Here is a 23,906-nt window from a genome sequence, read left to right as displayed (position 1 = left end):
GAAAGGGAAGGAGAAAAAGGACTGGGGGGTGACTGATGGGACAGCTCCCTCCCCATCCCCCAGCAAGGCTGAGCTGGTCCTTGAAAACAGGTTCAGAAGGGAGGTGTGCCCACCTGAAAAGGTTATCTCCCCGCTGACCCTCAGCTCAACCAAGGCCAAGCAAGCCCAGCTCCCTCAACCCTCTGGCCTGCATGAGTTCAAGGGGCAGTTGCAGCCTGTTCTGGGAGTTCTGGGAGCAGAGTAAAGGGGACCACCCTGCAAACCCCTTCCCTCGCCAAGGCCTTCAAGGAAGGATCTGACTGTCCCCATCTCTTCCTTGAGAAAGTTGGGTCACCTGGGGAACCCATGAGACTCTTCCAACCCCTAAAACACTCCTGCCTCCACCTTGCCAAATCGTTACCATCTTCCAGCCTCAACCCACACCCCAACTCTTCCAGAAAGCCTTTCCCAATACATGCAGCCTGCACATCCCTCGCTCTGGAACCATCCAGAACCCTGCCCGGCACTTCCTATTACAGCCTCTTCATGTTGAAAGATACTTTGGAAGTGAAGAGCCTTCCAGATGTCTGATTTCATTGAGTCAGGCTTATAGCTGCAGGAATGTCTGCTTTTTTCACTAATAGTAATGATACTAAGAATGGCTAACAGCACTATGTGCTAGATGCTTGACATGCAAGAATTCACTTCGGTCTCTTAAGTAAGCTCATTTTATAGCTAAGGGAGTGGAGGCACAGAGAGGTCAAGCAACTTGACCCATGGCTGCACAGCAGGTAAGTAGCCGAGCCCAGATCTGAAGCGGGGTTCCAATCTCCACCCCATCTCTTGCCTTCGCGCTGGCTATTTCTGACTGGCTTACTACGGTTGCAGCTATGTCTGTCTCATTGTCTTGGGTGCAGAAGTTTTATCTCATCCTTCCCTAGTAACATCTTCCTTCTCCTCCTTCCTTCCTCAAATGGCTGAGCACACAGTAGGTGCTTTCGAAGTTCTTGTTCCAAGATAGGCCACTGCTAGGGTGTGGGGACACTTTCTGACATCAGGTGGCAGCATTGGCCAAAAGTTTTCTCCAAACTCTGGGTCTCATTAGTCAAGTAAAAACTTAAAACGTTTATTTCTGGTAGAAATGATAAATACTTTGCACTAAAAATCTGGAATTCAAGTTTTCCTCGTACTTCATGCTCCCTCCCTGCCCCAGAACCTTACAAAAATATTTCTGTGTAGAGAGGGAAAGAGCTGGTGCCTGCTCTGGAGGCAACGTCCAGGTCCGGGAAAGGCACTCGTGGTCTGTGATCTGTCTCAGTGATGGGAGGTCTCCACTCGCCCCACAGGCAGCCTCGGGGCCAGAGATGAGAATATGCTGTAATCCAGTACAGGGGCTGCGTCGTGGGTCCCCAACAGCTCCTTCTTTGGGGATAGTGAGCCCCTTGTTGGGGAGTAGGAAGGGACTGAGGGGCCAGCTCCTTCCAGATGTGTGCATGGGGAAGGGAGTTGTGTCTGGGGAGGTGGGTGTCCAGGTATAGACTCCTTTTAGGGTCTAAACGTTCAAGGAGTTCAACAGAACAACCAGAGGCCATCATGTTTTGGCAGCTTGCAAGTGAACACTCCAGGGGAGATGCAGGAGGGAGGGGTGTAGATCTGGGGAGCCCTTCTCTCCCTCTCTGCCCGCAAGGAAGGCACAGGGTGGGAATGGGGGTGCCTTCATGAGACCCCCTGCCATGCCACACCCCCTTCACAGTCATGTGAGATGGGGCCAGAGGGGCCCAGGCTCTAGGGCCAGGGGAGTGGGGAGGGAGGGAAATAAGGCCTCAGGTGGGGGTTGCCACCCCCTCTAGTGGCTGGTGAAGAGCAGTGGGCCCAGAGCAGCCACCCGCCAGGTTGCTCCCACCCTAGCCTGGGTAGGGATCCTCATCCCAGAGACACAGCTGCCTCTGGGGCACGTAGAAGTCGAAGCTGTAGCTCTTCTGGCAGCTGCGGATGCCACACTTGTAGGGCGTGGGCCGGTCGCGGCTGTGGCAGTACTTGAGCATGCAGGGGTACCAGGCCAGGCTCAGGCCATAGCGGCAGACGCAGGGCTTCCCGTGGTCCCCCACCTGCCTGCAGCGAGGCAGCTCCGCCTGCTCTGAGGCCTTGGGCAGAGCCTCGAACACAGAACTGTCCACACCTGGGGGAGAGAGGCAAGGATCAGGGAGGGAGGGAGGGAGGGAGGGAAGGAGCTCCCCTAGTCAGAGGCCGCTGCCATTCCCCACTTGGTCTCCTCTGTCATCCCACAGGCATTTACAGACACCTCCATTTCCAAGCTTGCCATGGGACACAGAGGTAAGACCTGGTTACTAGGCTCCTCCTTGCTGGGCTCGTGGGAGAAACAGATTAAATAGGAATCACCCTCCTCTATGGCATCAACTGTGTGCTACGGGCTCTACTTACAGTACCTCCATCAGTCACCCCATGGGCTAAGTATCGTCATCCCTGTTTTAGTGATGAGAACATCGACCCAGAGTTTAATGATCTGGCCAAGGTTTCAAGGCCTCCACTAGACCACACTGCCACCCAATGCTTTAAAAAATCACCATACCGGAGTGTGCTGAGATAGAGGCGTGGGGAGACAAGGTTGGAAGTCAAGGAAGGCTTCTTAAAAAAGGTGACATCTGGCCGGGCACAGTGGCTCATGCCTGTAATCCCACTTTAGGAGTCTGAGGCAGGTGGATCACCTGAGGCCAGGAGTTTGAGACCAGCCTGGCCAACACGGTGAAACCTTGTTTCTACTAAAAGCACAAAAATTAGCTGGGCACAGTGGCGGGCACCTATAATCTCAGCTATCCTGGAGGCTGAGGCAGGAGAATTGCTGGAACCCGGGTGGCGGAGGTTGCAGTGAGCCGAGATCGTGCCATTGCACTCCAGCCTGGGGGACAACAGTGAGACTTTATCTCAAAAAAAAAAAAGTGACATCTGAGTAGGGCTAGGCAGAGAAGGGCCAGCAAAGCACACCCACAGTGGGGCAGGTCAGGTCAGGGTGGCCAGGGCTTGGATCAAATGGGAAAGTGTGCATATTGGGGCGCTGGAGGAGACGGAAGGTACCGGCCTGATTAGGCTCAGGGGCTGTATGGGAGGGGCCAGCTTCTGGAGGACACTTATGTCAAGCTTGCGGCATAGTCTGGGGTGCAGGCCATGGGGGAGGGTGTATGTGTGTGGGGGGCAAGACCACAGCTTGGTTGGGTATTTCTAAATCTGGGCCTGCCCTGGGAGGAGCAGGCATTTCACCAGTGCTCAGTTGGCTGGCAGAAGGCACAGGGGCTCAGAGTTGGAATGGCGCCATTTCCCTCTCCCCTCCACACAGGGGACCTGAGGGCGGTCCTGGAAAAGGTACCCAGAGAGGGGTCAGCGCTGAAGTCACAGAGGTCAGGAAGGCAGGGACCATGCAGTATGGAGAGGAGCTTCCAAGGATCTTGGGGCAGAGATGCTGGCACCAGGGAGGGCCTGAAGCTGATATCTGAGAGGTGTCAGTGGAGGGGGGCAGGGTGTCCTTGTGCCCCACACCCATGACAGAAGGCCCCATCTCTGTGTCCTCACTAAGGGCAGGGACAAGGGGAAGTACCTGGGAATCTCCCTCCACAGGGCCTAGCAGAGTCTGTGTGCCCTGCCTGGAGCAGGGCCCTTTCCTCTGGCTGAATCTTCTCGCTGAATAATCACACAGGCTCCATTTCCTCCAGGAAGCCTTCCCAGACCAACTGTAGCCTGGTTTGGGGGTCCCTCCCTGAACGCCTGTAGCTATCATGGTATTCTATCACACTTAACTCTGTGCAGATCTACCCTGCTGGGGGACAGGAACTGAGTGTCTACATCTCTGATTCCTGCGCCAGTACATCTCTGTAGGTGTTCAGTAAATGTCTCCTGAACAAAGGAAAGGCTAATGATGAGACTTGGCTAATGATGAGACTCAACTAATGATGCCCCTGCCCTCCTCCACTGCTCTGTGCTGTCTCCCTGTCCCCTTCCCTCCGCCCAGCAGCGGGCAGTGCCCAGCTCCCAGCTGACCTTGCTCCAGCCAGAACCGGACATCCTCCTGGCGGGTGTAGATGGCATCCACGGCCTCGGCACACACGTTGTGGAGATGGGGGCTCAGCAGGGCCCCCTGGCTGAAGTTGACAGCGACATCCATGTGCAGATGCTCCAGACCCCGAACCTCCTCCGCCTGCCGCACTGCCCGGGGATTTTTCTGTGTGTGGGAGAGAAGTCACTCCTACCTGGCTTCAGAATGCTCCCTGTCCATCTTCCCCTGACCCTCCAGAGTCAGGCGAGCCCAAGCTGACTGCCTTTAGAACGCTGGGGCCATCTGCAGGGTGGCAGCCCCACCCCTCTCCAACTGGCAGTGAAGCTGATGCCTAGAGTACAGTCGAGCCTTTTCAGCCTCTATCCAGAATGGATGCTTCCCAAACTATGTGCTGGCCACTGGGCTGACCTCTGGGGCTTGATGGAGAATGCTGAGGTGTGGATGGGAGGTGGAGGTGGGTGGGCCAGGCAAGCTGTGCCAGGGCATATGACCTCTGGAATCACGTACTTTCCAACATCCAGGGAACCAAGTCCCTTTGGGAAAGCAGGCAAAGCGCAGGGGCGAGGAGGCCCCCAGGGCAGGCTCTGCTGGGCAGGCCAGGGAACTCAGATGAGGCTGGGGCAAGGCCCTGGGTCTAAGAAGACAGCAGGAGCAGGCCGGCAGCTTTGAGGGTCTTGAACACTTCACATATGTTTGCTCACTGAATTCCCCCATAACCCAGTTTCAGTGAGAAAATTGTGGCTTTGAAGGTAACTTGTCCAATGTCACCCAACTAATGAGTGACGGAGGAGATGTGATGTCTGATCTGACCTCAGAGCCCAAGCCCCTAGCCTGTCACACACGGGGAGGTGCTGGAACCAGATGGGAGAAATCTGAGAGTTGGGGTTCAGTTAGTGATCTGCAGCTCTAGGGTCAGGTTTGGCCTGGGGCAAAATCAGGGGCTCAGGACTCTAGGGTGAATGGGGTACCAGGGATGAGGGCAGGTCAAGGGCAGTGGGTCCAGGAACAGCGTGAAGATGAGGAGCTGGGTGGGAGGCTAAGGTTGGGGAATCAGAGCTTAGAGCTAGGCTGGCTGCAGGGGTCGGGTCTGCAGGTCAGGATCTGGGCCGGGTCTGCGGGATGGGATCTGGGCCGGGTCTGCTGCGGGTCAGGACCTGGGCCAGGCAGGCCTGGTGGGGCACTTACCTGCCGGAGCTTGGCCATGGCCTCACTGGGGATGATCTCATTGTGCTGCAGCTGGGTGACAAAGCAGAGGGCCTGGAACTGACTCTGCCCCTTCTCCAGCTCCCCCAGGATCAGGGCCCGGAAGACCTTCACATCCTGAAGAAGGGCAGGAGGATGGGAACGGCTGGAGGGTGTGGGACCTTCCCACTGGCCCACCGGGTGCTCAGCTTGGCCCCTGAACAGGATGCCTGGACACTGCCGGGCAACAGACACCTCCCTCCTGCTGGTCTAGGAATTTTTATCTTTTCCGTTTAAACCCGTGACTTGAAAGAAAGAACACACCCCAGATGTTCCAAAGATCCTGGAAAACTGACAAAGTGAACCACTAGAGTTTTTCCCAGCTGATGATTCCTCTCGGCAGAACCCCTTAACGTCACCCTGATCAGGGTGGGTCAGGGCCTCTACAGGCACCTGATCAGGGCATCATGGAGGAGGGCTGGACTTTTCCAGTACCGATTCCAGAGTTCCTCTTTTTTTTTTTTCTTTGTAGTTGTAATGGCTAGAAATCTTAGACATTCTTATTCAGTAGATCTGGGGAGAGGTCTCAAGATGCCCTTGGTGCTTCTGATTGGCCAGGCTCCTGGCCACCGACCACTGAGTGAGTGGAGTGGTGGGGCCGGGACGGGGTGAGGGCAGAGTGGGAGGCTGGCTGCAGCTGTTGCAGCCTTCCGGCCTGAGGGAGCTAGGATGCCTCGCCTCTTCCTTTCCCTCCCCACTTCCCCTTTCCCCCATGGGGTCGCTAATGGCATTGCCGCAGTCCAAGGGCTCCTTCCTGTTACTGACTCACTGTGTGAATGGGGGGTCTGCAGCAGGATGGAGGGAGTAGAGCTGTAGGGTGGGCTGGGGCCCCCTTCCCTATCCGGCTGCTGGAGCCCTGTGCTCTGCTCACCTGTACCGCTCACCACATGAGAAGTGGCCCCTTGCCTTCTTACCCATCTCTGTGACTTGATTAACTCTGCTCCCAGTGAGAAGTTAGTGGGTCCCAGTCAGAAGTGGTCTACATCTGTCAAGGCCCCTCCTGTGGTGGAGGCACCCTGACCTCAGTGACCATTCTCTGCTGGGAACCCCTATGGCTCTGCACTGAGACTTAGAATGACAGCTCTGTGGATCATCTATTAATGCCCGGGCCCCAGCTCCCCCCACCACACAGTCACTGAGTACTTGCTGTACACCCGCGAGAACAGAAGTGTCTCAGCAACAGGCTCTGAGTGGCCCCCTTGGAGTCCAATACATGCGGCAAGGGACTCACAGCTCCGCCCCGAAGCTGCAATGTATTAGTGAGTCCTCCAGGCTTTCCCCTAATTTCTCTGATGTGTAAAATGGGGATGATCCCAGTTATGTGACAGGGTTGTGGTGAGGACTAAGTAAGTTATCTGAAGATTCTCACATGGGGTCAGCGCTAGCTGGGATTACTCTTGTAGGTGACCAGCAAGCATCGTAGGTGGTCTGCAACAAACGAGTGCATGTCATCTCATAAATGCCCATGTATTTCTGCAGTCCTTTAACTCTACAGAGTTTCTCTTACTTGCCATTATTGTAAATCATCTCTGGAACGATGAGGTATGGAAGTATAGGGGGAGGTTTTCCAGAAAGGGAAACTGAGGCTCAGCTGTTGAGGAAGGTTCCATTAGGTTCCTTATGATCCCAGAGATTTGTGAAGAAGGTGATCAGAGCTCAGCCAACCCCTGCTTCCTCTCAACAGGAAATCCCTTCTTGGTCATGGTGCTGCAATCTCCTTGTCCTGCCAGCCTGGGCTATCTGATCTTCCCCTCACTCAGGTCGGCTGAGGAGAGATGGGAGGCTGCTCTGCCTGTAGCATATTCCATTCTGGGCTCAATTCCTGCCAGGTGAGACTTGATACCAGACTTCCCCTGCTAGAGCTTGAGCCAGGCCATGTCCCTGGCAGGATCCCCCAGGAAGGATCCAAAAACCACTTCCCTGGTATTTTCAGCTCTGACTCTTTGGAGAGAAGCCTATCTGGATATTCACAGCATCTTCTCCAATACCGCAGGTGCAGGAAATATCCGGAAGTCTCAGGGCTGCTCAGGGGTCTCTTTGCTTGGTGACATCACCTGACTACCGTTGGCAAAAGAAGGTATTTGAACTTTCAGACCAGACTAGAGGATGAAAGAAATCTATTTGAGCTTTTTTCCTGCTTCTATATTAATAATGTCATCAATGACAATAACAAAATGCTGTCAAAATGGGAACTGACAGGGGGTGCAGGAAGGGAATGATAATTTCTCACTGAGAGGATTTCCTCTGTATCTCCTATTTGTATAGGAAAAAGAGTTACTGAAATTTGTAACTAGAAGAGAAAAAACATTGTTTCCATGGGTCAAAAGGATGTATGATCCTTTTTAAAATCCTTACAACAGGCGGTAGGAGCTATGATTGTTACCGAGCTTGGATTAGGTAACCTGTTCAACGTCATGGACTAAGAGGAAACATAGCCAGGATCTTAATCCAGACAGTCTGACTTCAAAGCCTGAGCTCTCTTAACCAGAATCCATAATTGCCTCCTGGATCAGCTAGTCTCATCTCCTTGATGCTCAGCTAAAGAAGCTGGAACTCGGGCACACAGAGGTTGTGCGGTCTGCCCTTGATGCCTGAGCTGGCCAGCAGCAGAGGTGGGATTAGGACCCGCTCCCCATCATGCCCATCTGGCGGCAGCCTGCCTTAAGTCAGCACACCTGCCTTCGAATGTGGCGGCTCTGGCTCGTGGTTCCTGCAACTACCAAACAGCATGACACAAATAAGAGAAGAGGAGGCAGGAATACCCTTCTAACCCGCCTGCCTGCCCTGCCAGGACTTCTTTTTTTGTTTTTTGTTTTGTTTTGTTTTTTGAGACAGAGTCTCACTCTGTCACCAGGGTGGAGTGCAATGGCGCGATCTCGGCTCACTGCAACCTCCACCTACCGGGTTCAAGCGATTCTCCTGCCTCAGCCTCCTGAGTAGCTGGGACTACAGGCATGGGCCACCACACCCAGCTAATTTTTGTATTTTTAGTAGAGACAGGGTTTCTCCATGTTGGCCAGGATGGTCTTGATCTCCTAAGCTTGTGATCTGCCTGCCTCGGCCTCCCAAAGTGTTGGGATTACAGGCGTGAGCCACTGCACCCGGCCTCTGCCAGGACTTTTTAAACTACAAATTCTCCGGTCTCTCCTTTGTGTGCATGGTTGTTTTTTTTTTTTTCTTTTGGAGACCGAGTCTTATTCCGTCACCCAGGCTGGAGTGCAGTGGTGCAATCTCGGCTCACTGCAACTTCCGCCTCCCAGGCTCAAGCAATTCTCCGGCCTCAGCCTCTGGAGTAGCTGGGATTACAGGCATGTGCCACCATGCCCGGCTAATTTTTGTATTTTGTAAAGACTGGGTTTCACCAGGTTGCCCAGGCTGGTATCGAACTCCTGACCTCAGGTGATCCGCCTGCCTTGGCCTCCCAAAGTGCTGGGATTACAGGTGTGAGCCACTGCGCCCGGCCCTTTCGTCCTATTTCCCCAGAAAAGCACATTCCACTTGCTGATCCCTGAGAAGGAGTGGGCAGCCCTACTTTCTGGGTCTATTTGGTAACAGGACTCCATCATCCTGACCAGTGTCCCTCCCGCTTTCCACTCCTTGCACCTCAGACTCCCTGGCAAGGTTCTGGGGCCCCCTCTTCTTCCAACCTTCACAGGGAAGGGTGAAAGTCCCCTCAGATGCTAAGCCCAGGCCAGATGGAAGCCTGACTCCCAGCCTTCCTCCTTGCCCAGGAATCTGTTGGGATGACGTACTTCATGTGGCCTAACACCTAAAGCAGATGCTTAGCTGGGGAAGAGCCTACAACAGGGACTGCAGGCAGGCTCCTGAGGCTCAGGACCCAGGATAGGGTCCCCAAGACGGGAGGTTGTTATAAGGCTCCTTCTCCCACAAGCTTCCAGGAATCTCCAGCCTACCTGGAAGAACTGGAGCATACTACATCCAGGGCCAGGATCTGGGCCACGCAGAGGGTGTGGCAAGTACCCTGGGGAAATAGTGTTTGCTAGGGTCCTCGTCTGTAGTTTTAAGTAAGGAGTAGGTAGGCTCTAGGATAGCACAGAATTTAAGAACAAAGGCTCTGGAGCCAGTGTTACCCATGTTCAGATCCTGGCTTTGCCTCTGCTGGCCACATAACCTTGAAGGGATTTACTTAACCTCTCTGTACCATAGTTTCCACATTGGCAAGCTGAATAAAATGATAGTATCTACCTCAAGGGACTGTTGCAGGGAATAAATGAGTGAAAGGTTTCAGAACACAGTGGGCTGAACTTTCAGTTTCTCTCTTGTGGCTGCAATTCCTGGCTCTATGTCTGCCTTGCTCCACCTGAAATCTACTCCACTCCTGAAGACCCAGGAGTTGAGATTGTTCTCTTCTAGATGTACCTATGGCCTAGACAGGTCAGGTGACTCCTCTGGGGCTTGCAAGTAATCAGCCAATCAGTGGGAGAGCACTGATTAGCAGGACATGGGGCAGGGCCTTCACAAACACCTGGGCAGGGGAGTGGCCTTGGCCAAGACACAGATTCCTGTTTTCCAGGGGATGGTGGAGGAGGCTGACTTCTGACAACTCAAGTCAGCAAACAATAGGCCTAGGATTGAGGTTTACTCCAAGTGCAATGGAGGTAAAGGGTGGATGAGGGAGTGCTCGTTGTCCCCTTAAGGTTGGGGCTGGGGGTGGCATGAGGGAGGGAAGACTTCGCACAGTGAGGGACTCCTCATTGGCCCTTGACAGTTAAAGGATGGAGGGCTTTCCAGCAATGAGGCATTTACAGAAGACAGCCAGGCATGAGTCTCCCAGTGCCCCCACCCAATCATCCCTCCATGCTACTATCACCCGAGTGGCCGAATGCCCTTCAAGGGCTCCCTTTGTCCTCACCAGAAAGCCTAACCCCAGAGCCTGGCATCCCAGGTCCCTGCTCACAGCAACTGTTGCACTTCCCATGCACTGAACCGGAGAGCTTGTAGTTCCCAGAATGAGCGATGCTGTGTCACCCCTAGGCCTTTCTGTGAGCAGGTTCTTCTGCCGGGATGCCCTGTGCTCAGCTGTCTCAGCTGTGCCTTGTGTGCAGGGCACAGCTCACAAACGACCCTCCTCTGACTGCCCTCCCAGTGCTGCCCTCACCAGCCCTTCTGCAGAGTTGGCCAATCCCAGTCGCTGCCTCTAGAGCACAAATCCCACTGTTTACTCCCACTGTGTTTTTGCTGACCTCTTTACTTGTCTTTCTTTCCAGACTCAACTTCTTGAGCCAGGAAAAGTGGCTTGCTTGAAGTGCATCCCTGCCCCCTGGAACACAGCAGGTGCTCAATAAACATCTGATAAGGAATACATGAAGGGTGAATGAACAACAGCATGGAAGAGTTCTCTGAGAAAAGCGGTGGGAATGTACTAGGGGAGGAGGGGAAGGGTCGTGAGTGCTGATGAGGCTGGCAAGGGGTCAGGACACAAGCAGGACGCAGGGTCTGAACCAGGCTGAGGAGTGGGAGGCTTCCTCTTGTGCCTCTCTGGAAGTCACTGGTGGGTTTGAGCCTGGGGTGACATGAGGGACCTGTGGTTTGGAGCTGAATCAGACTCTGCCTGAGGTTGTGAGAGTGCCTTGGATCTCAGTGCCCCAGTCAGATGGTCTCTGTCCTCATGGAGCACCTTCTGCCCAGGCAGTTAGTCATCCAAGCCCTCTGTGACCTGCCTCTGGCTCAAGAGCAGCGACTCTAGCCTATTCACATGGTGACCCTGGGGTCTGTCGCACAGCTGGGGCTCAATGCTTAGTAGCTGGAGGAACGAATGAATGCTCTAGGGCCTCCATCAACCCACTGGCCTCCAATGTGCAGACACTCTTTCTTCTCGGCCTTGCCTGCAGCTGGGCTCCTGCAGGCTGATAGTGCTACAGCTGCTATTTTGGCATCTAGAAGGTTTAGGGGATCATCTAGTTCATGGCCCAGTGAGGTTCCAGCAGGGAAGTAACCTTCATGAGTCACACAGTGGCAGAGCCAGGGCCAGAAGCCTAGACCTCCTGACTCTGAGTCCAGTGATCTTCATGCTTGTCCTGGCTCCCCTCCGTAGCCCTTGTCCAGATACTCAATTCCTCCCTGTGCCCATCCCAGCCATGCTGTCTGACTGGGATCCACCTGTGTCTCCAGAGGGAAGGCTGCTCTGGTTCAGCTGCACTGGGGGAATGCGCTGAGAGACGGCAGAGCACCCCTGGGCAGACATCCTGTGCTCAGCACTGAGGGTGGGGAGGGAGCCCCTGGATCCCAGGGGATAGCGGGGCTGTCACACCAGCCCTGACTGGCTTCCAGACTCAGATAACACTGGGAAGAATGAAACAGGCTGTTTTGCCACGGCCTCAGCCGCTGTTCCTGGGGGTTTATGTTGCTCACGGCTGAGCCTAATCTCAACTGATGCACAGGCTCACACGGCTTCCCCATTCGCGCACACCGTCCTCTTTCACAGACAAGCTGGGTCTCAGTCTCCTTCCCGCAAGGTCTCCCAGTGGCTCCTGTTCCACATTCCCATTCCCTCCACAGGGGTGCATCTGGGCCTGTCTCCTCCCTCAGTCTCCCTGTTGCCGGCAGAGGCGGCTCCCCACCGTCTCATCACACCCCTCTCCGCAGTCCCCACGCCCACCCCCCCTGTGAATTCCCCATCTCATGCCCAGCGTCAGGGCACACCCCGCATCACCCTCCTCACTTGCTCGATTCTCCTCACACGCCTCCTCCCGATGCCACTTCTCATAACGTGTGTACACACACACACACACGTGTACATGCGTGCATGTGCAGGCACACACTCTTACCGCATGTCATCACCTTGCTCCAGCCTGCCCGGTCTCCTCTGGCACCCTGCCTTCCCATCACGGTCCCTAGCTGGCCCCACTCTCCAGGCGCTCTTCCTCAGCCCCTCCCCAGAAAGCCCTGGGGTTTGGGGGGAGGCCCGCCTGCAGGAGAATGGAAAGCAAAGGGGGCCAGGGCAGCAGACTGCCCCTTCCCTCCACACCCTGCTTCCAGCCACCACTGTCCAGTGCTGGTCATGGCCCAGGCTGCAGGTCATCGCTCTAGGGCCACACAAGCCACTTGGCCCCCTCCCATTCTTCCAACCCTCTTGCTCCTGGACAGCTGGCGCTCTCTCCTGGGAGTGTCCTCTGCCATCTTGGTCTCCTTCCTGTCACACCAGAGAGCATGATTCTGGGGCCCAGGCTGAGCCAATCTAAATATTTATTCCTCTGCTCCTGGCTGGGGCTGCTTTATGGCTAGAGAAGTGGCTGGCTTCGCTGGGCTGGGGAGGGGAGAGGGGGTTTAGCCTGCAGAGCCAGCCAGGAAGCAGTGCCTTCCTAGCCCCACGGCAAAGCTGGAAGCACCCTGGCTGCTCTGCCCAGGCTTCTCGAGCAGGAACGGGGTGGATGGATTCCACCCAGAGCCAGGCCACGCACATCCCGAGGCCAGTGCCCAGGGACCTAGGCCGCCCCATGATGAGATGCCAGCATCCCCTCAGGGCTAGGCCTGGACAGAGGCTGCTTGTCTTGGGGCATTAGCACAACCACTCACCCAGAGCAGTGCTCCTGCCCCCAGCCCCTCCCCAGAGCAGTGCTCCTGCCCCCAGCCCCTCCCCAGAGCAGTGCTCTGTCAGCCGAATCCCAAAGGTCACCACTGTCCTGACTGCTGCAGGAACAATGTGAGGCTTTATGTGGATCAACTGCGCCCCACTGTGCTGCTGACTCAGTGCTCCTGAGACGGGTCTCCATGCTTCCCTCTCACCCGCACTCCCAGCCCTGATGCCTCTCCCTGCCCTTTATCTGAATCCCTAGTGGCAGCCACTTCAACACTTGCCAACTTCAAGGATGTTAGCTCCTCATGATGCTTTGGTCCCTACAGCAGAAAAGCAGCAGCTGCAGCAACATGCTTAACGGTGGGGTAGACGGACATCCAAGCGGGCACTGGCACCTCACTCCTCACATGCCCACGCGGGCCTCTGTTCTGCGAAGGGCCTCTTAGTCACTGCGCACACTGAACCCCAAGCATCACACTGTTGTCTCTGGTGTACCGGCAAGGAGCCTGGGGCTCAGAGAGGTTAAGTGACTTGCCAAGTCACACAGTGGGTAAGTGGCAGGAAAAAACGTACATAGTGATTGCTCACTAGTGTCTGTGAGATATTTTCTTTTCTTTTTTTTTGAGATGGAGTCTCACTCTGTTGCCCAGGCTGGAGTGCAACGGCGTGATCTCGGCTCACTGCAACCTCTGCCTCCCCGGTTCAAGTGATTCTCCCGCCTCAGCCTCCAGAGTAGCTGAAATTATAGGCACACACCACCATGCCTGGCTAATTTTTGTATTTTCAGTAGGGACAGGGTTTCACCATGTTGATCAGGCTGGTCTCGAACTCCTGGCCTCAAGTAATCCGCCTGCCTCGGCCTCCCAAAATGCTGGGATTATAGGCATGAGCCACCACACCTGGCCTTGGTGAGATATTTTCCAAACTCATCCCCCTCACCCAGCTCCCCAAGAGGCCATGCAGGGGAGAGAGGAGTTGCAGGCATGGCCAAGTAGCCAACACTCCATCCACTGGAGGTAAGAGCGTGGGGGAAGTGGTCCAGCCCAAGTCTGTACAAACGAGGGTCTCTGTGGATTTGTTCCTCTGCACCAAGGTTTTTTCCAGCCTCCTTCTCCCCTCCACCTCCCTCCCCAGGGTTCTTTAGCCTACTGGAAGGAGCCCACTCATGGTACCATGGCAGACAGGCAGTCAGGATATACTGGAAGGAACCCTGGGTCCTAATCTGGGATCATCAGCTGCTTCATCTTGTCAGCCTCACTTGAGAGCTCCAGGCGATCAGATAAGAGCATGTGTGACATGAGGGACTGCTCAATGGGTGATCTCCAGACCCTATGCAATCCTCACTTCAAGGCTGGGCCCTCCGCCAGCGGAACAGGAGTCTGTCCTAAGTTTATCTCCACCACCTCTCTGTGCCTTGGGAAGCCTGGGAGGGAACTAACTCACTCTCCCCACCAGCTTCCCAGCAGGATCCTCCATTATCCCAGGTGGCAGTCTTCATGGCCTACCGGGATCTTTTGCTAGGACTCCACCTGGACATAGCATTCAGGGGTGGGAGATGCTGGCCAAGCTCCCGGGAGGGGGTCTGAACCCTCAGGCAGGGCTGGCCATCCTGATCTGAGGAGGAATTCCTCACACGCAGAGGAGGGACAGATATTAGACCCAGGAGCCCCATGTCAGTGAGCCTGGTCATTCCATCTGGCGACTTCTTGTAAATACCTGTGAGGAAATGCTCTGAGCTCCAGAAAAGTCTGGGCCTCTCCCGAAAGCACCTCCACTGCCTTTTCCTCCCCAAGGAGACTTTCCATCCATCAGATGCTTCCACGCCAAATCTTAAGGGTGCTAACACAGACAGGGTAGGGGCAGACTGGGCCCTGAAAGCTTCTCGGTCCCACATCTATGTGCTGTGATATCTCCTTGGGATACACGTTCTTAGGTGGCAACGTGGACATTGCACATTCCACATCTTTACTGACTGCACCTCAAGGCTTCCCATGTTGCTCCCCCACCCACAGACCAGGCCCCCCGGCACAGGGGCCCTAGCATTCTTTGGACTATCCCTTCCTCTGGCTCCCACTCACTCATCAGTGCCCAGGACAGGGCTCAAGCTTCCATCCTCCATGGGTCCTTGTCCCTTCGAAGCGGCCCTGAGCTGACCCACACAGCTGTACAGTTCCCCTTATCTTGCTTATTCCCTCCAGGGCTCCAGCTGTGGGCCTTCAGGATCCCCTCCTTCCACACTTTTGGAGTCTGTGTCTCCCTATCCTCCCTGATGCTGGGAGGGGAAAGGGACCCCCACCGCCCACCACCGTGATGCCATCACACATGACCTTCTTCATATCTGTCAGTATCACCCTCCCCATCCGGTCAGCCCCAAGGCAGGCAGCCTGGAGCGTGACTCATCCTCTTCCCAGCTTTTGGCCACTCGGACTAGGGGACAGAGGTGAAAGAGAAACTGGCAAGAATACCAGCTTCCAGGAGGTAGACCAGAAGGGCTGTCAAATAGCCAGTTTAGGGAGAGGGGATGGTGACACACCTATGATTAGATATGCCAGTGATTATGTACATCCAGGGCTAATTACACCCATAGGATGTGGAGTATAAAGGAGAGTGTTGCCCACCAAGGGCGCGCTGTGAATTAGTTTGTGTACTGAGGGCACACAGCATTAGGCCCGAAGTATATGTGCTGCTCAAAACACATTAGGATTAGTGTGGGTAAGATGACAGGTTTCAAATATGTGACTGAGTTTGGGCCCTACCCTCATTTAACCTGAGCTGGCTCCTTCTCCAGGTCCCCTCCCCTCCCCTAGAGCAACTGCGCCAGTGGTTCCCAAACTTTGCTGCACACTGGAATCACCTGGGTTCTTTTGTCACCCAGACTGGAGTGCAGTGGCGCGATCCAGGCTCACTGCAACCTCCGCTTCCTGGATTCAAGCGATTCTCCTGCCTCAGCCTCCTGAGTGGCTGGGACTACAGGTGCATGCCACCATGCCCAGCTAATTTTTTTTTATTTTTTATTTTTTAGTAGAGACGGGGTTTCGCCATATTGGCCAGGCTGGTCTCGAACTGCTGACCTTGTGATCCGCCTGCCTCAGCCTCCCAAAGTGCTGGGATTACATCACCTGGGTTCTTTAAAAGAAAAAACAAAACCAAAACGACTGCTGCCTGACTCCCACCCTGAGATATTCTGATTTCACTGGTAGGGTGTGCAGCCCAGGCAGTGGGAATTTTCAAAGCTCCCCAGGTGATTGTGAGGTGCGGCAAAGCTGGGAGCCACTGAGCTGCGGCATTCTTTCAGAGCTGTGGCTCGGTCAGCCTGATGGCCTTCACTCAGCCTCTGGGCAGGGCTTGCAGTAATGCAGGATGGCCATCTGATAGCTCCAAGCTACTGAGTCTGCAAGCCTCACCTGGGCTCCAGGCTATGTGTCCTCCAGTGGGTTGACGACTGTGACTGCTTTGCTGCGTCAAGGTCCAGAGCAGTAGTGTGGGAGAGAGTTAGACTGTCAGAACTCTGACGCGGGTAGAGGCAAACAGGTGGGAAGGGCTGGAGAGAGGGGGCTGGATAGGGTTGGGAATCAGACAGAAGCCTTGGTCCCATCCCACACAGGGAGGCTCACTGCTGCCCTGGGTGGACTGTCAGGACAAGGATGGCTGCTCCTGCTCTGAGGGGCTGGCCAGCAATTTTGGCACTTCAAGGAGAAGGTTAAGATGAAGAGCTCAAGGATCCTCCAGGCTCAGTACTGACTTTTCTGCATGACCTTGGGTCCGTTGTTCAATGTCTTTGAGTCCAAGTTTAGCAGAGAGGATCCTTGCTGAAATGCTGTGTGAGCCACAATTGCAAAGCTAACAGCTCCTATGTCTTGAGCCCTTAACACAGTATCTAATACAGAGTAAGGATGTCATAGGCACTACTAACTGTGGGATATGTGCTATTATTATCCCCATTTTATAGATGAAGAAATGAAGGTCTGGAGAGATCAAGTAGCTTGCCCAGGGTGAACCTGCTAATAAGTGGTAAACCAAGTCTGTCTCATTCAGTCTGGACTGTTCTCCCCAACGTGATCAAATGGCAAACAAGGCTCTTCCCAAGTAGATGAGGACTTTTCCCAAATCACTGCAAATGAGTTTGGTACAAGAAACACAAAAAGCGTGACTTCCCAGGCTGGAGTGCAGTAGTACAATTGCAGCTCAGTGCAGCCTCAGCTCCTGGGCTCAAGTGGTTTTCCTGCCTCAGCCTCCTTGAATAGCTGGGACTACAAGGCACACACCAGCGTGCTCCGCTAATTTTTAAATTTTTTGTAGAGACAGGGGTCTCGTTTGGCCTGAAGATTTCATATTCCTGGTTTCAAGCGATAAGCCTGCCTCAGCCTCCCCAAATCCTGGGATTACAGATGTGAGCCACCACACCGAGCCGAAGTCTTTTTCTTATAGGAAAAATCATTCCTTCTAGACCAAACTTTCTTATGGAAATCTGACAAACACTATGAGGCATGGGGCCTTGAGAACTGAGAGGTGACCCACCCTAGAAGGATCTGGACATAGAAGCTGCTGTGGCCAGTGCAGGCAGTGAGTGAGTGGCCTGGGTGAGGGTAAGGCTATTCTCCCCCACACTGCACTCTCCAACTCCACCCCGTCCTAGGCCAATGGAGAAACCTGGAGTTAAAGGGACTTGGGAAAGCTGGTTTCCTTTCGGTGTCTTCCACTCCCAATTCCCTCCCTTGCTGATGAAATTGGAGATGCCAGAGGTGGGTATGAAATGGTAGCTTCTGGGTCAGAGGCTAACCTGAAAATCAGACTTTAGAAACCTGGGTGGAGGTCTGAACCACTGTAGAGATTCAAATGAGGTGCTCACAATCTCCAGATGCATTTTCTAACTGGGCAGTCAGATGACCAGCATACCCTCACTCCAATCCCCAGCACCCCACCCCCGCCATCAGCCACTACTGCCAGCACATCACAGCTACCTGGGTACTTCTTAGCCTCTCCCTTCAGATCACAGCAATAAAAACCTTCCAGATGTAGCTAAAGGCTATAAAAGCTCAGCCCTACCCATTGCCTTTCACTGTCCTGGCCACAGCCAGGGAAGTCTCTCTGCAGGATTCTAGTGCAGCCACAAGATGACATCCAGTGGGCAGGGGGTTGGGAGCCTCACAGCCTGGCCTAAGGCTAACTTTCAAGGACAAAGGGCTTGGACAGAAGATTAGATCCCCGATTCCTGATGGATCCAGCCACTAACATAGATTTTTCAGGAACAGAACACACTTGATAAAATTCTCCTAGGGTTTAGGTGGGGAGGCAGGGTGCCTAGCTTAGGCCTGCGGAGTAAGGATGGGCTACAAAGTCTTCCCATTTGTGAACGCTCACTACCCCACCCCCCATCTGCCTGCTTATGTCCAATGTCAGTGCCAACTCCGTGGCCCTGGGGCAATCAGCGGTCAAGCCTCACCCCCCAACCCCACCCACCTCTAGCGGTCAAGCCTAACCCCTCACCCCTGCTAACTATGGCAATCTGGCTGGGTCCCTAACTGACTTCCCAAACTCCGCCACCTCTCCTCTAAAGCGCCCTGTCTCTACGAGGGAGGAAAGACAGGCAGCTTCAGCAAGGGTCCCCGGGGCCCCGGGCTCCCCCAGCTATCTAATCGGCTTCACCCCTGCACTCCCCCAGGGACAGAGCCTCACAGGGCCTCTCTTTAGCTGGGGGAAGGAGACAGAACGCTCCTTTTGAATACCTAAGACTTACCCACCCTCTTTTCCTCCAGCTTTCCTGCTGCTGGGTCACTGTTAGTCACTCACCATCCAGGCCCATTTCCTGATAATCCCCCAGCCCCCTGGGTGCAAGGCCCTTCTTATTCCCTCCAACACAGACACACACACACCAAGAGCGGGCTGGTCTCTAACTCCCAAACCGTAATCTGGGACACACACCCACACACCCACACCCACCCACCCACCCACCCACCGGGCTGGTCTCTAACTCCCTAACCCTAATCTGGGCCAAAATAGGGGGGTTGGCTCGCTTCTCTGCCAGGCAGAGTGAAGGGCAGCACTTCTCCCAGAGGGAGGGGGCCTCAGCTGGGGTCTCTCTCCAGGATCCTCCTGCTGCAAGCGCCCCAGCCTTCCAGACCAAAGAGGAGACAGGGCTTCTCCCGGCTTGAGAGGGACCAGGGGCAACCAGCTCTCCCCAGAAAAGTGAAACAGAGGGAGAGGTGACAGAGGGACTCCAAAATGTCAGGGCTGGGAGGCCTCGCAGACCCCTCAGTGCCCTGTACAGGGGTGAGAAGCCAGGCCCATAGGAGGAAAGAGGCTTGCTTGCTCTAGATCACACAGGGAGAACCCACAGTGAGAGCCCACAGCGAGAACACTTCGCCTAGGACTTTCCCACTAGAGCACAGGGGAATGACTCCAAGAAGGGAGTCCAGTCGTTAGTAGGAGTTCTGGAGGAGGGTTAGCACCTGGGGGGCTCTGGGAGCGCTGGAGGAGGGAGTGAGAAAGGGAAGCAGAGGGGTTCTTTGGAGAGAATGAAGGGGTGGGCCCTGGGGAGTGGGCAAAGAGGTGTAGAGAAGAGCCCGGCGTGACCTTGGGCCAGCTGCGTCTCCCTCCTGGGCCCGTCTTTCCGTCTGCAGGCAAGAGAGCGCCTGGGATCCCGGGGGGCTCAGGCTTGAAGGTGCCACCCCGGCGAGTGAGGGCGCCTCACCTTCTTGAAGTCGGCGGTGAAGGAGACGAGGGTGCCGTCGGGCTTGCGCAGCTCGAGGCTGATGCTGTCCGCGTCGCTGTCCGCCTGCAGGCTCTCCTCGGTCACCTGGCCGTCCGGCAGCCGCACGCGGACCCGCAGCTCGGCCGGCGCACCCGTTCCCAGCAGCGGCGCGAGCAGCGGCAGCAGCAGCAGCAGCGCAGGGCGCGCCAGGGGTACCCCGGGAAGGCGCATCCCCGGGGGCCGCTGCCGTCCGCGGCCCCGGCGCGCCGCGTGGGGGCGGGGAGAGGCGCAGGCAAACTTCGCCCAAAGTTGGGGGCTAGTTCGGGGCGCCCGGGAGCCGCTCCGCCGGGGGCCTTGGCCGCGGGGTCGCCCGCGAGGTGGCGCGGACGCACGTGGGTAGCGCTCAGCAGGGCGCCCCCGGCGGCCCCGAGGCGGAGACGGCGCTGCCCCGGCCCGGCTCCGCGGCCCCGGGCTCCAGCGCTGCGAGCCTGTGTTTTGCACTTTTCATTCAATCCCACCCCCCGTCACTTCCTTCAGAAAACAGAAACCACCAGGACCCGCCTTAAAGAGACCGCGCACCTCGCGGCCCTTAAAGGGCCCGCGGCTGCTCTCCGCACTTCGGCGTTGGCCGGGCAGGGGGCGGGGAGAGGGGGCAGCGGCTCCGCGGCTTTGTGCGAGCGGCCTCCTCGACCTCCCTCCCGCCCGGCCGCGCGGAGTCAGCGACCCAGGCGGAGTCAGAAGTTTGCTCTCCCGGGGCAAATCCCTTCCTTCCAGCAGGGGCAGGACGGGTGACTCTTCCCCCGCCCTGCACCGCCACCCCCCCCCCCCGCTTTTTTTTTTTTGGCTTGCTTTTGTGCCACGTGGATGAAATAATCGGGCTTGGATTTTTAGGGGTTTTGTTTGGTCTTTCAGTTTCTCTGACAGCGAATTTCTAAAAAGCTTCTGCAAAATCAGACCTCGCTTTGCACTCTGCCTTTTCCCTGCCCCACACTGGGAGGGTGGATCGGGGGTTCTCGCCCAGCTTTGCCACGGCCAGGTGTTAGACCTTGATGGGTCAGGTCACCCACTGGGACGCGGCCCTCAGGTTTTGTGAGCCCCTGTGCCTCTTTCCTTTTCAGTCCTGCCTCCCGTGCTTCCCGCATTCACGGCCTTTCCTCAGTCCTGCCCACCACCGCAGACCCGGTTCTTTCTCTCTATTATAGACTATGAAAATCCAGGGAAATGTTGGATTCCAGGTCACTTGGGAGAATTTCCAGGGACTCGGGACGCTGGCGCTCCACGACAGTGGCTTTCCCACAAGCCACAAGGAAACATGCGTGCCCTGCGGTGCACCCCAACAATAAGAAGGGTGAAGACCAGGAGATCTGGATTGCTGCCTCCTCTGATTAGTTGTGGAATTTAGGCACGTTTTAAAAATTCTTTGGGCTTAAGTGTCCCCGTGTGTATCGTGGAAGCTGCTCAGACCTACACTGTCCTGCCAGTCCCAGGCAAGGGAAAAAGCCCCACGAAGATGCTCAAAACCAATTGTTCCCTGACTTCCATTTTCACTTCTGTTGGGACCTTGATTACTGATGGGTGAAAACTCCCTTCTCTGCAGCCTCCTTCCCTTCTAGGGCTTCCCCAGCACAGGGCCATGTGAACTGCAGGGTCCGGCTAGAATCGGCCTCTTGCTATCATCCAGGGGCCCTTCCCGCTACCCGCTCTCTGCTGCCTAGATTTAGGACTGAAGGGAATTTAAGAGACTACCAAGTCAGCCTTTTCCAAATTTGCCTTTCCTGAAGAATCACCTGGATGCTTGTTAGAAAATAGATTCCCGAATCCCTAAACCCATGGAATCAGATTCTAGGGAAAAGAACTGAGGATTAGCATTTTTGACAAGGCCCACATGATGCTCGACATAAGTGGTTGACAGCAGGTATTTGGCAGATGTTTAAGCATAGAGCGTCTGGGCCAGACGCGGTGGCTCATGCCTGTAATCCTAGCACTTTGGGAGGCCGAGGCGGGCGGATTGCCTGAGCTCAGGAGTTCGAGACCAACCTGGGCAACAAGGTGAAATCCCGTCTCTACTAAAATACAAAAGAAATTAGCTGGGTGTGGCGGCGTGCGCCTGTAATCCCAGCTACTCGGGAGGCTGGGGTAGGAGAATTGCTTGAACCCAGGAGGCAGAAGTTGCAGCGAGCCAAAATTGCGCCACTGCACTCCAGCCTGGGTGACAGAGGAAGACTCCGTCTCTACAAAACAAAACAAAACAAAACAAAACAAAAACATAGAGCATCTGAAACAAGCAGCATCCTTCCTGGAGAACCTGGCTCCTAAGGAGTTCATCTTCACATCCGGGAGATAAGGCAGGCTGTTAGGGAATAATTGGATTAGCACAAGGATTGCTCCCCTAAGGACTCCCACTCTTAGCTGGCAACCGTTTAGACTAGAGATGCCCAGGGTCTTGAAATTGGCCTCCCGCCTGACAGGATGCTGGATCTCCATGCGGCCTTGAAGCTAGGTCTCCCACATGAGTCAGCCCACACAGTCATTAAGGGCCTCGCCCACATTTCCTAACTTCCCTTGTTTCAGGTCCTGTCCCCATCCGCCACCAGCTCTGCCCTCAGCCATTTCCCAGGCTCTTACCCCTTCTCCTCCCACAACAGCCCAGAAGTGGGCAAAGAAGCCCTGGATGTCAGATTTCTTGTTTAGGTCCCTGAGGTTTGTCTCTGTTCACATTTTGGGTTTGGAAACAAGGATGGAAGACCTCATCTCTTTCCCACCTCTTCCCCATAGTCAACTTCCTTCTCTACTTCAACCACAGATCAAACCAGATTTTTCTTTGAAAGTGATAGGGCATTTGAAATCTCACTCCATTACATAAGCCCTGCCTACCTACATCTCTATGCCTTGCTATTGATTTCACCTGACCACCTCTTCAAGCTCCAGGACAAAACTCAGGTTTCCCAGGAAGACTTTCTCGACTCCCCACCGACCTAGCCCTCTGTTCTGTGCCACTGTCTCCGGCCTCTGGACTCCAACAATAGTCATTATTATAGCAGCTCCTCCCCCATTGTATTTTGATTATGTCCAGGTTCTGTGCCAAGCATTTTACATGGATCATCTTATTTAATTTTCATGGCATCCCTCCAAAGTAGGTTCTATTCTTAGGCTCTTTTTACTGACTAGGAAACCAAAGCTTAGAGAGGTTAGGCAACATACCCAAGGTCACAAAAGCAGTAGAGCCAGCCGGGACTCAAACACAAGTCTGCCCGCCTGACCACAAAGCCCTTGCTTTGAACCACAGTAGCCTCTGCCTGTCGGTAGCCCTCACTTTCTGCCAGTCCCACTCGGGGCTCACATCCTGCGCTATCTTCTCCTGTTATCTAACGGTTTCGCGTGTGGCAATCCTGTATCCCCAGTGAAGCCGTCAGCTAGTTCAAACAGGCCAGCCCCGTGCTGGGAACAGACAGCGTTTCCCTCAAACCATCCGGGCATAGAAGCATCCATTCATCTTAAATGTAAAGGCCGTCAGAGGAAGAGCTCTAACAAGCCTAATTACTCCGACTACAACCAAACAGCCCTCATTGTCAGAGAGTTCTTCATGTCTCATCGCAAGACCTCTGCCACACCATAAACCAATTTCCTTTTTTTTCTCATCTCTAGCCCTTGGAAAGCAGTAGCCAGTAGTGGTTCAGAAAATGGGCATCAGGATCTCAGTCCTGGAGCTCGGCCCCAGTCATGAGCTGTGCGTCAGTGAGCCTGTTTCTTCAACTGTAAAATGGGCGCATACGTTTCTCCCTCACTGGGTTGCTTTGAAAATTAAATGAAACATTGTGCATAAAATATTTCGCAACATGTTTGGCATATAGTACAGATCCAATAAATGGTGGCTGTTATCCTTTAATTCTGTTTATTCTTTCCCATTGTATCACATACTAAATCTCTGATTATACAAGTCTCTCCCTCTCACCCCCTGCCACATGTATACGCGTGCATGTACACATATTCTTTCAGAAACATTTTTTTGGCTGGGCGCGGTGGCTCACACCTGTAATCCCAACACTTTGGGATGCCGAGGCGGGTGGATCACCTGAGGTCAGTAGTTCGAGACCAGCCTGGCCAACATGGCAAAACCCGTCTCTACTAAAATACAAAAATTAGCCGGGTGTGGTGGTGGGCGCCTGTAATCCCAGCTACTCCGGCGACTGAGGCACGAGAATCGCTTGAACCCAGGAGGCAGAGGCTGCAGTGAGCTGAGATCGTGCCACTGCATTCCAGCCTGGGTAACAGAGCGAGTTGGTCTCAAAGAAAAAAATAAATACATAAAAAAGAAATATTTCTTCCTCTCTATCCTCTTTAGGTGTCTAAGTTTTCTGTGTCTTGAGACCTCCGAAACTGAGAAATGGATA

At 54.7% G+C, this 23,906-nt stretch overlaps 1 protein-coding gene across 1 annotated transcript, besides 8 other annotated features; it reads right to left on the bottom strand.

Moving 5' to 3' along the window:
• Positions 1-691: 691 nt before the first annotated feature.
• Positions 692-19,994, bottom strand: OAF (out at first homolog). Its single transcript, NM_178507.4, has 4 exons — positions 19,516-19,994; positions 5,231-5,365; positions 4,030-4,210; positions 692-2,158 (listed from the first exon to the last, which is right to left on the bottom strand). Exons 1-4 carry the CDS (start codon positions 19,744-19,746, stop codon positions 1,884-1,886), a joined length of 822 nt encoding a protein of 273 aa, NP_848602.1. The 5' UTR covers positions 19,747-19,994; the 3' UTR covers positions 692-1,883.
• Positions 9,817-10,316: an enhancer, noted in NCBI's record as "H3K4me1 hESC enhancer chr11:120091419-120091918 (GRCh37/hg19 assembly coordinates)". NCBI's record gives its function as "activates a minimal SCP1, AML or CMV promoter by ChIP-STARR-seq in primed H9 embryonic stem cells {active_cell/tissue: H9 hESC(primed)}" and the evidence as "EXISTENCE:reporter gene assay evidence [ECO:0000049][PMID:30033119]".
• Positions 12,804-13,387: an enhancer, noted in NCBI's record as "H3K4me1 hESC enhancer chr11:120088347-120088930 (GRCh37/hg19 assembly coordinates)". NCBI's record gives its function as "activates a minimal SCP1, AML or CMV promoter by ChIP-STARR-seq in naive H9 embryonic stem cells {active_cell/tissue: H9 hESC(naive)}" and the evidence as "EXISTENCE:reporter gene assay evidence [ECO:0000049][PMID:30033119]".
• Positions 12,843-12,987: an enhancer, noted in NCBI's record as "145 bp enhancer 139 fragment used in the MPRA reporter construct; PK_construct_1855". NCBI's record gives its function as "activates an SV40 promoter by MPRA in HepG2 cells {active_cell/tissue: HepG2}" and the evidence as "EXISTENCE:reporter gene assay evidence [ECO:0000049][PMID:23512712]".
• Positions 12,909-12,922: a transcriptional cis regulatory region, noted in NCBI's record as "HNF4 motif; enhancer activity is reduced when this motif is scrambled". NCBI's record gives its function as "necessary for full MPRA enhancer 139 activity {active_cell/tissue: HepG2}" and the evidence as "EXISTENCE:site-directed mutagenesis evidence [ECO:0005528][PMID:23512712]".
• Positions 19,677-19,786: a silencer, noted in NCBI's record as "silent region_3988". NCBI's record gives its function as "represses an Ori minimal core promoter by ATAC-STARR-seq in GM12878 lymphoblastoid cells {active_cell/tissue: GM12878}" and the evidence as "EXISTENCE:reporter gene assay evidence [ECO:0000049][PMID:35858748]".
• Positions 19,877-19,926: a silencer, noted in NCBI's record as "silent region_3987". NCBI's record gives its function as "represses an Ori minimal core promoter by ATAC-STARR-seq in GM12878 lymphoblastoid cells {active_cell/tissue: GM12878}" and the evidence as "EXISTENCE:reporter gene assay evidence [ECO:0000049][PMID:35858748]".
• Positions 20,107-20,366: a silencer, noted in NCBI's record as "silent region_3986". NCBI's record gives its function as "represses an Ori minimal core promoter by ATAC-STARR-seq in GM12878 lymphoblastoid cells {active_cell/tissue: GM12878}" and the evidence as "EXISTENCE:reporter gene assay evidence [ECO:0000049][PMID:35858748]".
• Positions 20,700-21,241: an enhancer, noted in NCBI's record as "H3K4me1 hESC enhancer chr11:120080493-120081034 (GRCh37/hg19 assembly coordinates)". NCBI's record gives its function as "activates a minimal SCP1, AML or CMV promoter by ChIP-STARR-seq in primed H9 embryonic stem cells {active_cell/tissue: H9 hESC(primed)}" and the evidence as "EXISTENCE:reporter gene assay evidence [ECO:0000049][PMID:30033119]".

The sequence above is a fragment of the Homo sapiens genome, chromosome 11 (assembly GCF_000001405.40).
Source record: "Homo sapiens chromosome 11, GRCh38.p14 Primary Assembly".
Taxonomy (NCBI): domain Eukaryota; kingdom Metazoa; phylum Chordata; class Mammalia; order Primates; family Hominidae; genus Homo; species Homo sapiens.
This window is presented reverse-complemented; position numbering and strand designations above follow the sequence as displayed.

Excerpts from the sequence above, each read along its gene's own strand:
- OAF (NM_178507.4), bottom strand. The coding sequence starts at position 19,746 with ATGCGCCTTCCCGGGGTACCCCTGGCGCGCCCTGCGCTGCTGCTGCTG. Across the intron at positions 5,366-19,515 it reads TCACCGCCGACTTCAAGAAG|GATGTGAAGGTCTTCCGGGC; the intron begins GTGAGGCGCCCT and ends GCCCTTCTTCAG. Across the intron at positions 2,159-4,029 it reads CCGGTTCTGGCTGGAGCAAG|GTGTGGACAGTTCTGTGTTC; the intron begins GTCAGCTGGGAG and ends TCTCTCCCCCAG.